Here is a 17,998-nt window from a genome sequence, read left to right as displayed (position 1 = left end):
AAAAAGGGATCTAAGATAAAATATGGGGGAAATACAAAATACTACACCCCACAGATGAAATTCCCAAAGCATATTCATTCATTTTTTTAGGAGCACTGCACCAAAGAAACCCATTTCACTCTATTTAACCCCGTGTATACCTAAGATGTTTATCCATAAAAACTTTTTCTTATGTGTCATCTGTTAAAATCAGCTGATATATCTTAGGACATACTTTAAGGAACAGTACTCTTAATTTAACAAAAAACAAAATAGGGAAAACAATTAAAAATTTCATTTTCTGCATGTTCATAAAAAGCCACTTTTGAGTTGTTTATGTATTAATAATTGTCTCACTTTCTGATAAATCCTCAATGATTTGGGATGGATTGGAAGATGCTTCTACTTGGCATCTATTACAATATTGTGCACAGAGTGGTGTTTAAGATCTCTTAGGATGTGAGAGCAATCTGGTGGCAACACCTGCCTCCTTGGTGATTAATGCCATTAGTATAGCTGGCGAGGCAGGGGCCACATCCTCTCCCACCGTGCTGCACATTCCTCTGGGTGCCCTTTCCTACAAAGGCACACTGTTTTACGATTGAGTGCATCTGCCCTAATCTATTCTGGCTTTGTTGACTGAACCATGATGCCAGTCTTCAGGACATATTTCTAGCTTATTAATCAACAATTCTAAATGATCTGCTTCAGATACCAGATAACCCATTTCTCCATTCAATGAACAAAATTTCCATGGGAATCATAAATTCTGTCATTTCACAGATATGGGTTGCAAATGTCTTTTCTCAAGAAAATTCTTCCCAAGGACTGTACCTAAAAGTATTCTTTAAAAAATATCTATCTATATGTATATCACACAACTTTCTATATAGAATATTTTATATTCATTTTAAAATCTTGTCATATGTGGATGTTCTGCGTGATTCACAGCTGTGTCAGAGAAAGGTGATGAGGATAATATTTTGAAAGACAGAATTTCCTATTCTGATATCTGAGTTTATCTTATTTTTAGATCCGTTGATGAGTTCATGTTTTTAAAGACTCTTCCCTCTATGCCTATGGAGCTGACACTTTATTTTATTTTATTTTTAAAAATGAGAGAGTCATTTTAAAATACAATTGACTATGTATAAAAATAGTCTGCCAATCTTGAGGAGGTTTAAATGGTATGTTTTACATCTTCGTGACGGTTTTATTACTCTTAAAATATATCCAACAAAATAAGAAGTTGAGCATCTGAGGCTTTCAATTTTCTCCCTGGTTTATCTGTAATTGCACAATAGAAGATATATACTGGACAGGCCAAACAAGATGCCCTCCTCATTCCCATCTGGAGAACTTCATCCTTCCATTTGCCTAGGCCAGAAAACTTGGAGCCATCCTCTACTTCATCTTTATATGTAATCAGTTAAAAAGTTCTGTTGTCAAAATACCCTATTTCATTGATTCCAAGAGGGACAACTTTTCATGCTTTAACATATATGAAATCAGAATACATCTCACAATCAGTAGTATCTTATATTCCCTCTCACTCAGGCGATAATCCTGACATAGATACCGTTGCCTACACAGGTGCTAACATCAAAACAGCCAGTATCAAACTCACAAAATGAGTGTCAGCCGCTTGGGAGAAAATTATAAGACAATATTGGAACACATTCAACCTCTAGGAACCAAATGGCTGTGGAGGTTGTAGGGAGATGAGGAATCAGAATTACAGGTGCTTAACTGCATTGTCGTAGAAGGAGTCAAAAGTTGGCTAGCTCTATGTAATTGCAGAGCTGAATTGAAAGCCCAGCACCAAGACTTCTGCTTCTGACAAAGATGAACTAACAGGAACCAGATTTAATATTCTGTCTAAAACAATCAAAAAGTCAGATGAAACCATGGTTTTTAAGATATTGGACATCAGGCAAAAAAGGGCAGCAATTCTGTATACTCAGGAAACACATCAGATAAGGCCCAACATTGCCCCAGCTTACTGCCTTGATAGAGTTCCTAGGCTACAGCTTTGGAAGTATGAAGACCTGTAGAGCTCAGTAGATTCCCTGAATTGAGTAGACAAAGCCAAGAGTCCAAGGAGACAAAAACAGTTAGAATTTCTGGGACAAAGTAACAGAAAGGAGAGAGCTATACAGAAGGACAACTCTGGACACCCAAGAGGGTTTCCTTAAAGTAGCCAGCAGCATACTAATCAATACATAAGTGTGAGGAAATTACCCGGCCTGGGGAAAGAACTACACAAAAGAATTATAGAGAAGAGTACACGGTGCTCATACAGGGCTGAGAATAGTATCTTATCCCATCAGCCAAAGTGACAAACTTTGTAAGTCATGGAACATTAAGTAGTCTACTCAGAAAGGTCCCGCCTCAGTAAAAGGGTACAATTAGCTCTAGACCAAACATGGCTTTGGTCCTGTCTACCACATTTTAAGACCCCAAAGGTTCAAACTGATTTCAGTAACTTAACTGCTCCCAGAACACAGCTCAAGGATATTTATAGAAATACAAAAATATCTAGTACCCAAGAAAGTAAAATTTGTAATGTCTGGCATCAAGTCAAAAAATAATGAGGCACGCAAAGAAACAAACAAACAAAAAAAACAGCACATATTAAAGTGAAAAATCAATCAATCCAAACACAGAATGGATATTAAAATAGTTACTATAATGGTGTTCCATAAGTTCATAAGGTTACATACTGAAAAATAAATCTCCAGATCCAGAAAATTTCACTGGGGCATGGTAGCAGCCATTTAAAGAATAAATATATTCAATTCCATACAATCTCTTCCAGAAAAAAAGAAGACAAGCAATTACTTCTCTACTCATCGTTTGAGGCCATTTTGTGCTAATACTAACACCAAACAAAGACAATACAAAAAAGAATACGACAGACCAGTATCTCTCATGAACACAGATAAAAAGCCTCAACAAAATACTGCCGAATCAAACTAGAAATCTATATAAAGAATAATACACCATGACCAAGTACACTTTATCCCAGAAATGCAGAGTTGGTTATTTAAAAACCAATTAATGTAATTCATCACAATAACAATCTAAAGAAGAAAAACCACAGGACTTTGTCAGTTGAGGTAAAAGAGAATTTAATAAAATTCATCATCCCTTCATGTTATTAACTCTCAGCAAACCAGGAAAGGAAGGGAACTTCCTCAATCTGATAAAGGGCATTTATAAAAACCTACAGCTAACATCATACTCAATGGTGAGAAACTGAATGCTTTCCTCTTAAGATTAGGAATAAGATAAGGACCTCCATTGTCATCATTCCTATTCACTATTGTATTGCATGCGTAGCCAGTACAATAAGACTACAAAAAAAAAAGTGGCTTACAAATTGAAAAGAGGCAAAACCACTCTTACTTGTAAACAACATGATTGTTTATTGAGAAAATCCCAGTCATCTACCAAAAAACTCAGAGGTATTGAGTGAGTGTATCAAGTTTACATAATACACGGCTAACACACAAAAATCAATCATGTTTCTGTGAACTAGGAATATATAATTGGACATGGAAATAAAGAATACAATGCCAAGCCAAGCGCAGTAACTCCTGTAGTCCCAGCTACTTGGGAGGCTGAGGCAGGTAGATCACTTGAGCTAAGGAATGTGGGTCTGTAGTGTGCTATGATTACATCTGTGAATAGCCACTGCACTTCAGTCTGGGCAACATAGTGAAACCTCATCTCTAATTTTAAAAAAGAGAATATAATGCCATTTGCAATAGTTACAAAAAATACAACAGATGTAAATCATATAAAGTATATGCGATCTTCATGCTGAAAGCTAATAAAGGCTAATCAAAGAGATAAAATAAGACCTAAGTAAACAGAGACATAAAATTCTCATACCTTATAGATTGAGTGACTTAACATGCTAAAGATGTCAATTCCTACCCCCTCCAAATCAATCTGTAGAATTAACACAAAAAAATCCCAGCAAGACTTTTTGTAGATATGGACAAGCAGATAGTAAAATTTATATGGAAAGACAAAGACCCAGAATAGAATAGCCAAAATGAATTTGAAAACAAGAACAAAGTTGGAGAAATCACACTACCACATTTTAAGATTTACCTTAAAGCCACGGTAATAAAAAAAATGGAGTATTGATGAAGGGACAGACACATAGCAGAATAGAGTCCAGAAACAGACCCTCAGAGAAACGGCAATAGATTTTTGACAAGGTTTAAAGACAATTCAAAAGAGAAAAGGCTGTCTTTTTCAACAAATGGTACTGGAAGAATTGGGCGTCTATACGAAAAAAAATTCAAGCTACCTATCAAACTTACACCTTATACAAAAAATAACTGAAAATAGGTCACTGATCTAAAGGTGAAATGTATTTCTGCAAGAAAACACGGAGAAAATCTTTGTGTCCTGGTCTTAGGCAAGAAGTTCTTAGACATGACATTAAAAGCATGAGCCGTAAAAGAAAAAAAATGATAGCGTGGTCTTCATCCAAATGAAAAGCTTTTGCTCTGTGAAAGATAACATTAAGCAATTTTGAATAAAAAAGCTATGATGGAGAAAATATTTCCAATTCAAATATCCCACAAAGGACTTGTACCTAGTATATATAAAGAACTCCCAAAACTCAACAAGAGAAAGTCAAGCAACACATTTTTTAAAAATGAGCAACAGACTTGAACTGACACTATGCAAAAGATGAACAAAGCACACTGTGGTAAGTAGACTAATGTATCCCTCTCCCCTGCCAAATATGTCCTTAAATCTGTGAATGTGTAATATTATGTGGCAAGGGGGAATTAAGGTTGCTAATGGAATTAAGATTGCTAATCAGGTCACCTTAAAATTAAGTGATTATCCTGGATGATCTGAGTGGACTCAATGTAATCACAAACATTCTTTAATATGGAAGAGGCAGGCAGAAGAGGAAGCTTGAGTCAGAGAGAGATCTGAAGATGCTAAGCTACTGACTTTGAAGATGCCAAAGAATGTGCATAGGCTCCAGGAGCAGGAAAATCAAAATTGAAGAAAGAGAAATACTCCCTCAATGCTTCCAGAGCTGTGTTCTGCAAACACCTTGTTTTTAGCCCAGTGAAACCTATTTCAGTTTTCTGACGCCCCCAGAACCATAAAATAATAAATTTGTGTTGCTTTAAATCACTTAGTCTGTGGTAATTAGTTACAGCAGCAATTGCAAGATAATACAACATGAAAAGATGTTAACATTATTAGCCATTAGGAAAATGCAAATAAAAACAAGTATGAAATACCACTACTCACTGATAAGAATGGCTAAAATTTAAAATGGTGGCCAGGTGCCGTGGCTCACACCTGTAATCCCAACACTTTGGGAGGTTGAGGTGGGCAGATCACTTGAGGCCAGGAATTTGAGACCAGCCTGGCCAACATGGCAAAACCCCATCTCTACTAAAAATACAAAAATTACTCAGGCATGATGGTGTGCACCTGTAATCCCAGCTACTTGGGGAGGCTGAAGTGGGAGGATCACCTGAGTCCAGGAGGTCAAGGCTGCAATGAGCTGAGCTGTGATAGTGCCACTGCACTGAAGCCTCAGTGACAGAGTGAGACCCTGTTTCAATAAAAGAAAAAAAGAAGAAAGAAAGAAAAAGAAAAGAAAAGAAAGAAAGAAAGGAAAGAAAGAAAGAAAAAGAAAAAAAGAAAAGAAAGAAAGGAAGGAAGGAAGGAAGGAAGGAAGAAAGACAGAAAGAAAGAAAGAAAGAAAGAAAGAAAAAGAAAGTAAGAAAGAAAGAAAGAAAGAAAGAAAATAAATACAGGTGCAGTATATCTATGATTGGATCACTTCTCATCATTTCCACAGCTACTGGTACAGTCCAAGCCATTGTCATCTGTGGCCTGGCTTAGTGTAATATCTTTCCAACTACAGTCTATTCTCAGTATAGCAGAAATCTGATCAAGTTATTCCTCTGTTCAAAATCCTCCAACAACTTCCCATTTCATTCAGACTTACAAAAAACCCCACAATATCTGTGCCATTCTTCCCCCAGCCTCATATCATTTTCTCTAGCCTTTTTGAAACTCACCTCATTTTAGTCACACTGGCTTCTTTGTTCTTCATGAAATATATCCCGAATGCAAATACCACAGGACGTCTGCACTTGCTTTTCTCTTTTCCTAGAATTTTCTTCTCCCTGACTTCTGCATGGTGACCCCTTTTCACTTCCCTTAGATCCTTGTTTAAATGCCATGTTATCAGTGAGTCCTTTCTTTATTAATTTACTGAAAATTGCAGCTCCCCTGCATCACCTGTGGCTGGCAGCCTATACCCATTTCCTGTTCTCCTGCTCTGGTTTGTTTTTTCCATGGCTCCTAGGAAGATAAATGGATTTTGTCTGTTTTGTTCTGTGCTGTTTCCAGCACCTAGAACAGTTCCTCAGCATATAGCAGGTGCCCATTAAATATGTGCTGTTGAATGAATATATCCTTGAGTGGCTTGTGAGGATAGCCCAAAGCAGCCAGGGGCAGGTGGAAATTTCTTTAGTGTTTTGTGCTTTCTTTAAAAAATCCATATGTATTTTGTACTTTATAACATAGAGGCCTGTGTTTTATTATAAGCGTACTTTACCTCAAAATCTTTGAGCTAGAATGATAGTCCAAGAATATGTTTACCCATAGCCATTATACGTCAGCATAAGCCACAGTCTGAGAAGCACATTTTTAAGTATTAAAAGCTTAATTTTATCTTGATATAAGTGAGTTAAGTGACCTCACCATGCAAGAAAGGTAGAGAGAGAGCTTTAGGATCTCCAGGTGATTTCAAAACATACAGATACAGACGAGAGTTCTGCAAAGCTGGAAATATCAAATTGATAGCAAATAGGCTGGCTCTAGCCCTAAGAATATTCTGAGTATACTTGGAAAATATAGAACATAGTATAAGTCAATAAATCTTGTGAGAAATGAACTTTTAAATTTTAAGAATCAAAAGCAAGGTAATGTCAGCTATATTTGACTATTTTTATTGGGTTGGGGGAGTTGAGAAGTAACTAGAAAAAATGAAAAGGCTGAGTGCTACCAGTGGGTAGTCTTTTCCTTTAAGAAAGGAGAAAGAGTACTTTGATCTTGCTCTATTTCCATTGTCTGTATTTGTATTAGGCAATTGTAATGTCTTTTAATAAAAAGATGATTTTTTAAAAATCACCAGCAAATGGCAGCCATTTGATAAACTTCTCCTACTTCTCTTTATCCTTCTGGCACATTCTACCATGGTTTTTCTCCACTTTCCTGTTTTTGCTTTGTTCCTCTGAGGCTTGATAACATAAGGGAAAAAAAAAAAAAACTTGGATATAAGTTCAGAAAGAAAGTGAGTTCAATGTGGGGAATCTGAGTGCCAGAAGTTTGAAGAGAGCATGTGGCGAGCTGACAGTGCCTTTTGGCAGAAGACAGGGGAGAGATCTGGCAGGACTCCTCCAGGTGTGGAGAACTGCTCACCTGGCTTCTCCACTGGGCCCTGCAGAGCAGCCTCATGTTCCCTGCCAGTGGGTCGCCTCACAGTCTGTAAATATAAGATGGAAGATTCTTCCAGAGTAGAGAAACATAAGTGAGGCAGTTTGTTCAGCATCTGCTATAGATTGTGGTGAGGTGCATGCATATGGTGGGCTTTATTGATATCAATCATTTTGTCATGAGACATCATCAGTGCTAAGGTAAACGAATCAATTCCATTTTGTCAGTATGTATAATCATCAGGTTGTGTATTATATAATTTACCTACTGTCGGTCTTGAATAGGGCACTTTTCATTGAGGTATTTATTTGCAGACTTGGAGATGATATAGGGCTCTCAATTTGCTTCAGTTTCTTCCTTAGGAGCTTCTCCATCTTTGTTTTGTGATTCAGGCCCTAGAGGTCACCCATCCCTCCCTAACAGTAGGGTAAGAGGAATGTCTATCTGAGCACAGTAGTCTAGATCCTCTATGAGAACAAGAAGGTATGGGCATGAGAATAAAGAAGCACCTTTACCATTAAAAACATGCTCCCAGGACACTATACAGCCATCACTGCACACATGCATGACATTTCCTTTTGTACCTAACAGTAATTCCTAGATTCCTAGATAATGAACACTGATTCAGTTACATGCCAGAAATAATTAGAGGATTTTAATTCTTTTAGCATTCCATGAAGAGTTCTTAAGAGTGATCTTTTAAATGTAACTCTTTTCTAACATCCAACCATGATTTACAAGAGAATTATGCCTCTATCCATTTCTGGTTTCCATCTTCTAACTTTAGAAATTTTTCATCTTATGGAAGAAGCTACCAACCCACATGACCAAAGAAAAATCTCACCTGAATGTGTTATATCAATGTCTAAGTTACCTCATTCTTTATTCTATATGCCAGAATCTTTTAAATTTATTTTATTTTTTTTGCAGAATTACATTTTCCACTGTTTCCAAGGGAGTTAGAATGTACAGAGTTCCCTAAACTGGTATCTCCAATTTTTCATGTGTTTGTAAGTCCCCATTCTTTGTTTCTGCCTCCTCTTTTTACCTCGAGGCTAATCCTTTGGCAAGCTGCCTTTTCAGGACTTCTGAGAATATTCCTCCACTGCATACCAGAATAACTGCATCTGCCTTTCTTCCTTGACCTATAAGTCCATTTAAAGCAACAAACTCTCCATATGTCAATTGTTTTCCTCCAGCTAGTCAGCAAGTAAAGATAACAAAACACATTCAGTAAAGATATTCATTCTCATTTCCCAAACCAGAGAGACATATGGAAAGAAATACTCAGTCAGGGATCTATTGAAGGATTCTGCATAGTAGCAAAATCTGGAGACAATATGCCAAGCAATGTCAAAATAATTCTAAAAATGCATGTCCTTAATACAAGGGCTGTCTTATTTCTATCTGTATCTGCTGCAGTGCCTAGAATAGTGATTGTCAGACTGTGTATCATAAAATGCCTCAGATTAATGACTCAATTTTTGGCGTAGGTACCATGAGAACTTGTACCATCTATCCTAGCAGGACCTGACTGGGTAGACATCTGAGGCACCTTCCCTTGATCCATCTATCTGCTTTGCAAATGTCCCACCACAGAGACTATCAGCGGGGCTGTGACCAGTCCAGAGAAACAAGTAAGTGCTTAGGCTCTGGAATCAGACTCTGAGCTCAAATCTTGGCTCCATTACAACTGTGTGACTCTGTGCAAGTCCCATAATCTGGCTAAGCTTCAGTTATCTCATCCATAACATGGGGATTAATAGTACTTTGCTCATGAGGTTGTTATAACAATTACATGGGACGATTGTGTGAAATTCTCAGCAAGTACATGTCTAATAAGTACACTTTTTTTTTTTTTTGCTAGTATTGAGATACCAGGACACAAAGGTCAATAAAAAGCTTCATATAGGCTGGGCACAGTGGCTCATGCCTGTAATCCCTCACTTTGGGGGGCTGAGGCGGGTGGATCACTTGAGGTCAGGAGTTCAAGACCAGCCCGGCCAACATGGTGAAACCCTGTCTCTACTAAAAATACAAAAATTAGCTGGGTGTGGTGGCATGCATCTGTAATCACAGCTACTTGCAAGGTTGAGGCAAGAGAATCACTTGAACCCGGGAAGCGGAGGTTGCAGTGAGCTGAGATTGCCCCATTGCACTCTAGCCTAGGCAACAGAATGAGAGACTCAGTCAAAAACAAACAAAAACAAACAAAAACAAAACACCAAAACTCAAAAACCAAAAATCCAAAACGTCACGTAATCACTGCCCTACATTAATTCTGAAAGGACTTGTTTTAGTACTGACCAAAGACCACCTTGTAAATGAAGGCCATGTGACTTCACAGTGACAGGAGTGAATTTGTGCTATCTTCCCACTTTCCTCGTTATCTTCCACCAGGCATAGCACACTACACATCACGCAGGAGCTGGGATACAGTCTGTCCTCATGTTGGACAGCAAAGCTCATGTTTGTACAGAAAGTATTTGTAGCCCCATGTCTGGTTCACTCCTGATGTGCCTCAGAAGGACAGGCTTCCTCTTTGGGACTGCAGCTGGTAACCTGACTTGTCCCACCTAAGCTAATTCACATGCCAGAGCATGAAGCCTTCTACATTTTCAGGTTCATTATCGTTTTGGTGGAGGTGTTGTTCCCTGGCTGTTTAGTGGGGCCAGACCTAAGCCAGGAGAGGATAAGTCAACAAGTCCAAAGGTCGCCCATCTCTGTGTGTCTTACATTTGGTTGCGGAGAGCTGGGATTTATACTGCCCTCGGACCAGCCGGCAGGTGGACCCATCTCCGTTGCAGACCCCACAGTTATCTTCCTTGACGGTGCTTCCCAGCTGGTGATCGCAGCCAACAATCTAACAAGAAAGAGAGATGTGTAATTCAACCAAGCACCTACCGATGGCAAAATCCATTATGAGGCCAATCACCATGAAATAACCCTCCCTTCATCCCTGAGGGGCCTAAAACATACCCCGTGAAGGGGACTGAATTCAACTGGAATTTAAATCAAGCTAAGAAAGAAAAAAAGGTAGCATGGGTAAAGATGTTTTCAAAGTTCAGATATACAAATAGAAAGAAGGGTAAAAGAAAGAGAATGAGAGAGAATAGGGAGCAGGGTAGGGAATGATGGGGAGAAAGTAAGAGAGATGAGAAGATCCTGAATTATTGATGTTTTAGGGCCTTAATTCAAGAATAACTCCTATGTTAATAATTATGATGCACTCAAATGACAAAAACTACAACCAAGAGGTAATGGTAGCAGGAAACATTTTATAAATGATCTCCATGTTCCACATGGTTCGTTAGAACGTATGCTGCGTAAGGGTGGGCGATTTGTATATTGGGTTAATTAATGTATTCCAAGCAGTGAGAACAGTGCTTGGTCAATTGTAGGCCCTCAAAAAATATTTGCTGAGTAATAATGAAAATACTTCCTTTTCTAGCTAGTACTCCAGCTTAAAAAAGAGGAGAGAATCAGCAAACAGATACAAACTTACTGTGTGTGTGTGTGTGTGTGTGTGTGTGTGTGTGTGTGTGTGTGGAAGAGGACGGTTGCATGAAGGGCAGCAGGGATGAATACCACTAAGACCCTGTCATTTGCCTTACCCTGTCCTGTATCAGGCACAGTACAAATATCTCATTCATTCTCAAAAGAGCCATGCAAGTAAGATATCTCCATTCTATAGTTGAGGCCATGAGTCTTACCCAAGGTCACTTAGCTAATAAGCAGCTGAGTTCTAAAGACTCCTCGTGAAACATTTATGCCCGGTCCAAATCAGGCTTAACAACATCACAGGCTTTTATAAAGTATGTGGGCAATGCCATTTGTGTCTTTCCTCTTTACTTTCTAATATCTGAGTCTTAGAAATTCAAATCCAAACTATGCCAGGTTGTATGGCTTACAGTTCTAGTTAGATCAAATATGGAAAGATTTATTCTACTCCCAAACTATTTCAATTACTCTCTTTGACAAAATAAAATAATGGTAGTGACAACTGAAGGGACTTATGGCTTCTCTTCATAAAGTCCTCACAGTTCGTCTTGCCTTTCAAAAATCTGGTTGTTAATATGACCAGAGGATTGAGGCTTGATTTTCTTTTTTATTCCTCTTATTAATAATAATTGCAAACACATGTTTAGATGAAGGTTTAAAAACATAATTATTTAACATTGTGTTATATATGTACTCTATTTTTAAAATGTGGTAATGTATGTTTTTTCATTAATAGCAAATGAACGTCTTTTAAAAATAGATGAACAGCAACAACCCCTTCAATAACTGTACATTTTTTTTAAATGCAAAGATGTCAGGAAAACATGGTGCTGAGTTCTAAAGTCAGGGACAAAGGCAGACGGGCTCTATCCCTATGGGTTCAGTGTAGCTGAGGAGCAGTTTGCCTCAATCTATTCAGAGGCTGCAGTGAGGCCACTTCAGAAAGCAACCGAATTTCATCCCTGCAGTGCCAAACATGTGCTGGCTTAAGACTTCTTTGGTGTATTTCTACATAACTGCAGTAAAATTATTTTCAAAATTCATATCTGTAGATGGGCCCGCCCATGAGCTGATCAGTTCTGTATTCACTGTTATATTCTGAGTACAGTGTGAAATAGGATTACAGAAGTATTTTATTTATAAAAGAATTCATTTAACCGGTTAGGTAATATTTATTGAGGACCTGCTATGGGCCAGCCACTGTGCTAGGAGCAACATTCAATGGTGAATTTCAGCATCTATGGGTCCACTCTCATGAGACTTTACAATCTAGTGGCAGAGGGAGATAGTGCCCAAATCATCACACGCAATAAGTGTAAAATGATAATCATGAAAAAAGGTATAAAACACAGACACATGACACTCTGAGAGCATAAAATATGAAGAATTCAATTTGATTAGGGAGGCAAGAGAAGATTTCTCTTAGGGAGAGACTTTTTTGAGCTGAGATGTGAATGAAGAGTCAGAGTTAACAATGGAAGGGAGGTGTCACATGAGGTTCACCATGTCCTTTAGAAATGCCTGGATACTAACTAATTGGAGAGGAAGCAAAAAACCAAGTTGGCCAAAAAAAAAAAAAAAAAAAAAAATCAGAAAACTGATAACCTAATTGCCTTGGAGGGACCAAATCCTTTGAGAAAGCATGACAGTTTTAATTTAGGCAACATTCAAAGCATTATTGACTCTACTATTGTTGTGGTTTTTGGGATTGAAGAGGACTTAATCTGACAAGATCCTTGACCATGTGGAAGGACAGCGCAGGCATTGGGCACAGGAATTTCCACTCTCAGGCGTCCAAATCTAACTGGGTTTACTCCTTAAACTATAGGAATTTCAGGTTTCTCAAAGGATTTAAGTTTCTCTGGAAAATTTTTAACGGACTCTGATGCCTCTAATGGAGCCAAAGGAGATAATCATGAAAATCTCTCTCTAAGTCTAAAGATTTCTTACGGTTCCAAAACCATTTTAAGTAAAGAACAATTCAGCTTCACAGATCCAAAGCAACGGTAATATTAGGAATAGCTAAATAGGAGGTGACATACTTTAAGAGTAGCTTGGCTAGACGCCTGACTTAGTGCTATCAGTGTGGGTTTACGGACCCCAGGATATGAACCAAGTCAGTTTTAAATGGGCTTTGTTTAGCTTCAGAATTTAAAAGACTAACATCTCCCTGACACAATTGTTTTTTTTTTCTTCCTTTTCTCTGTTATCAATTCCTCTTCAAGATGCCAAAATCTTCTAACTCAATTATTTTTAAAATGTGGAATACTTTATATCAGATAAAATGTTCTTACTTTGGTCCAAGTGGAAAATTGTTTGCAGGGATATCAGGATAATCATACTTGACATATCTTAATCTGTTGATTTTGAGTAACTATTAGATTAATTAAAATTAGTTGTTACTTTAAGACCTACTATTAATAACAGAGAGAAAAATAAACAGAAATACAAAAATGGGCTTAATTGGCCCTCTGTGCACATGCTATTATTTTTTGCCTAGAATACTCTTTCCCTATTCTTTATTTGGCAAACTCCTACTCATCCTTCAAATCCCAAATCAGGCGTCTGCTCAAGAAAGCCTGTCCAGATTCCAGAGGTAACTGCCTTATTGCTGTATGTTTCCATAGCCGTTTCTTCATACCTCCATGTGGCAGAGGTTTCTGGTTGTCATCAAATATCCATCTTCTCTTATTTTTCTTGTACTGGACCCCAATTTTATCTGGGTTAGCATTATATGCAGTTAAAAGAATACATTTCTCATTGGTCATGAGAAAAAATCATAATTACTGAAATAAAAGTAGAAGTGAGGCTTCTGGGAAGGCTACTTAAAAGAAGCTGACTTGGCTGGGGAATGCCTTTTCTGCCCTCTGCCTTCCTACCTTCCTGCTGGCTCTAGCAGCCATCTTGGAAATGAGACAATCTTGAGAATGGAAGCCTTGTACTCAGAATGGCAGAGCAGAAAGAGAGAAAGATCCTGTTTCCTGAACCGCACTTGGACGGATTGCATCTTTTTTTTTTTTTTGTGAGAGAATAAATCTTTTATGTGTCTAAGCCACTATTATTTTGTTTTTTTTTTCATGTATACCCAATTCAAATTATTATATAACTTACATTGAGTTTATTAACATGTCTATCTCCACACAACATCCTGGGCTACCCGAGAACCTGTGTTTTACTAATCTTGATATTTCTGCTGCTCAGCCCAGTATCAGACATTTGAGATGCACAATAAACGCTGCTGAATCGATGAAACACATAATGGTTTGCTAATAGTTTCAATGTAGTTTACAGATAGGCGACCTTAGACTGCAGCCATTGACATACGAGTCTGCAAAAATGTGTGCATGCATGTGTGTAGGTATGTATATGTACATGTGTTTTTAACTGTGCACACAAAGAAACAGACATACCATAAATGACAGCAAGAGGCTAAACCTAAACCTCTGCCCTGATGCATCAACAAGAATTGCTGTAAAGGGCTATTATTTTTTAGAGACTATTTCCCAAGTACACCGATGTTAATTATTAGAGAAATGTCATGGAAGGCAATGTTTAGGTCACTGAGTTCCCAGACCCACCCCATTCTGGACAAAACATTTAAGTGAGATAATGACCACTCATAACTTTGGCAACTGCATGAAATTTTTTTGCAAACAGTGGAAAACTGAATATTTTGGTCTAATACAGTTTATTAGTACTCCACTATGAGGTGTCAGCTGGATGCAGTGGTCTGACCTCATCCTCATCCAGAATCACTGCACAGTGTTGCTTATTTTGCAATATTTTAATCTCAGGTAACAAAAAAGTAAGAAGCTCCAAGAAAAATTTAAAGAAAGGCAAAATAGCACCCTGAAACTTACCAAATTAATAGTGTTTTCATTGTTTAGATACCACTAGTGGGTTATCAATTTCTGCTTTCATATCTTAAATGTATGCTTTTTGTACCCTCTCTTATATACATATATGTGTACAAAGATACGCAGCCACTTGTCTTATTTTTGAGTTGAGCAAGCACACTTAACACTGATGATTTTTCTTTATTCTTCTTTCAGATTTACTAAAGGGAGGGAGAGAACTGCCCCCCGACCCAGCCCCCTCCCCCCTGCCAAAAAAAAAAATAAACTAGGATCATAGCATCCAATCCAAGTTGGCTCAGAGACTTAGTATGTCGTGCAGATTTTAGGCATCAGGCCTGCAGTAGGGGTTTCTTCCTTCACTTTACAGAGCTGATAGCAAGAGAACAGGCAGTATGCAAGACTGAAATTCTCTAGACACTGAAATATGTTTAATAAAATGTCTTCATTAGTAGCCACAGGAGAAAGAAAGATCACCATGCTAATAATTTGGAGAACATAAATAAACATAATCCATAAGCAGATATCATGCCTCAGACTGACATTCTTAGGATGGGTTCACAATGGCTTCATTTCAAATGGTTTCCCATAAGGAACTCAATCTAGCATCAAATACTGAGCCAGTGATGTCAAGCTTTTCTTGATCCAACATCATGAGGTAAGAAACTTTTAAAGCTTTCTATTTTCAGCACTGGGAAAGACAAATATGGAAAACTAAACTGTGCAAATCTGACCATAGCTGTTCTTATTTATATTTACTTAATTTAGATAGAACTTTATGGGTAACAGTGTGGTTTACATGGATTATCCTTTATTTACTAATTATTTTAATAAATAGGGGAGGGAGTGCATTTCTAACCTCATCCTCAAAAGATTTAGATATTCATTAATTTGCTTATGCTTAACCTTTCATTAAATAATAAAAAGATTTATAGCATATAAATAACCATAAAATTCACAAGAACAAATGAGTGAATGGAGCAAAAAGGCAAAGGTAAGAAAGATAAATCTAGAAATGAGAGAACTAAACATAATGCACACTATGCCGTCCTGTACAGTTGCTAGATGTGGTGGGGGGAGGTCACATCTGGATTTGAGCTTCCTAGAAAATAGGAACACATAAGCAGTTGTAAGAGTCAGAGAATCTACTGGATCTTTTAGAAAATGTATGCAATAATGTGTTCTTTATAGTAGACAATGAATATTTGTGTAATAAATGAATAAATCAAAAACCACTCGGGAGCACCATAATTAAAGTACCAAAATAATAGATACACATTAATTGTGAGTCTTCTGAAAGACAATGTCATATAACAATGTCCCAATAACATCTGAGCAAATACATACAAGCAGTTTCAAAGAGGTGGCTCTAATAACCTCTGATGAAGCCTAATGGTCAGGGGACATTTGATAAAAGCAAATTTTATGCTGGGTGTGGTGGCTTATGCCTGTAATCCCAACACTTTGGGAGGCCAAGGCAGGCGGATCACTTGAGGCCACGAGTTTGAGACCAGCCTGGCCAGTATGGCAAAACCCCATCCCTACTAAAAATATAAAATTAGCCCAGTGTGGTGGCAAACACCTGTAGCCCCAGCTACTCAGGAAGCTGAGGAATGAGAATTGTTTGAGCCTGGGAGGCAGAGGTTGCAGTGAGCCGAGATGGCGTCACTCCACTCCAGCCTGGGCAACAGAACGAGACTTTGTCTCCAAAAAAAAAAGCAATTTTTAAGAAGCCAAAACAAATCATCCAGGTAAAGAGCATTATGATGGTCTGATTTACTCCAAGGGCAGACTTTGGAGTACTTAGGGCAGGGCTGGCAAAATTCTGGCACATGTGCAGCTATACCTCCTACCAGGACCACAGTAGATATTACTAATCAGCAGCAGCACTCTCTGTCACTGAGGTTTTATGTGGCTCCAGATTCGTAAAGACACTGGGCTCTAGAAGCCGAATCCAATAGACTATAGTTGTCAAATCAGGAAACTAAACCCATTTACCATTTCAGAACCAGAGAAAGGAATTGGTTGCCTACCTTTTAGACAATTATCCATAGACATTATTTAACTTAAGATTTGAATGATTTCAAGTTCAGATTATAACACTGAGGTTCAGAGAAGATAAATTCCCCAAGGTCACATAGCTGGTGAATAACATAACCAAAATTCCACCTTGAGATTTTTTGACTATAAATTATAGTAGGATGCCCATTAACCATGAAAAGGCATACTATACAATATTTATATGGCAATAGTGAGTGGTAATAACAAGTTTGAATATTCTAATCAAGATCATTACCTCTAGAGCTACACTTACGCACAGGGATGAACGATGGTTTCATCTGTGATCTGTGCCTCAGAAGCACATATAGCAAGTGAAGGGGAAGGGGCTCAGCCCCAACAACACCTGCGGTCACCTCCTACCCCTCCCCCTGCCACACAGGCAGGCATACATACCTCTCTCATGGTTTGTTATGGGTACCAAAATTCCCTCTTTTACACACTTGGTTTTTTTGTTTGTTTGTTTTTTGTTTTGTTTTTGGTTTACAACTAAGGTTTCCAATATGAGAAAATAGAATCTCCAGTAATTCGCAAAGGTGGTAACAGTGCTCCATGAGCTATGTTTACTGTTTCCAAAAGCCTAATGGAAATATATTTATCTGCAATAAAACTACATAAGGTCACCAAAACACCAATCATCTCATTATACAAATAAGCTGAATCCTGACCCTTACTGTATTTATTTTTTAATTGCAAACTCAGGTCTTTTAGCTATAAAATGGGAAAACAAATTATTACTTAATACATGCAGTGTTTTGAGTAGATGGAAACTTCCAAAACACAAGGCCCATAGGAAAAAAAAAATAAAGGGCTCCTTTGTGTTAAGAAGTTGGGAACCACTGGTGTAGTCCTCTGTTTGTTGTTCCAATACCCTTGGGAGGAGTAACACATGAAGTTGCTGATTATACTTAAATTAGACCAAATCAACTGAGCATAAGGCATTACGCTGGCTGTTATGGTGCTATTACGAATACATATAGGTGGTAGGCTTGGTCTCAATCTAGGGTGAGGGGTTTTAATCAGATTATTTCCTCAGAACAGGTGAGAGTAGAAAGGGAGTAAGATCAGTATAACTAAAGGTCAAAGGGGCACGGAGGAGGAGAAAG

General features: G+C 37.9%; 1 protein-coding gene across 16 annotated transcripts in view; it reads right to left on the bottom strand.

The window, feature by feature from the left end:
- The window catches only part of ADAMTSL1 (ADAMTS like 1), a 1,004,318-nt gene that overhangs the window by 278,366 nt on the left and 707,954 nt on the right, over window positions 1–17,998 (bottom strand). For all 16 annotated transcript variants that reach the window (XM_011518064.4, XM_017015312.3, XM_011518063.3 and 13 more), the window contains one exon: window positions 10,216–10,342. In XM_011518064.4, coding sequence (XP_011516366.1) covers window positions 10,216–10,342 — 127 coding nt within the window. The remainder of the gene's footprint in view (window positions 1–10,215; window positions 10,343–17,998) is intronic.

Source organism: Homo sapiens, chromosome 9, assembly GCF_000001405.40.
Source record: "Homo sapiens chromosome 9, GRCh38.p14 Primary Assembly".
Lineage (NCBI taxonomy): Eukaryota > Metazoa > Chordata > Mammalia > Primates > Hominidae > Homo > Homo sapiens.
The sequence above is the reverse complement of the archived record's forward strand: the minus strand, read 5'-3'. Positions and strand labels throughout refer to the sequence as shown.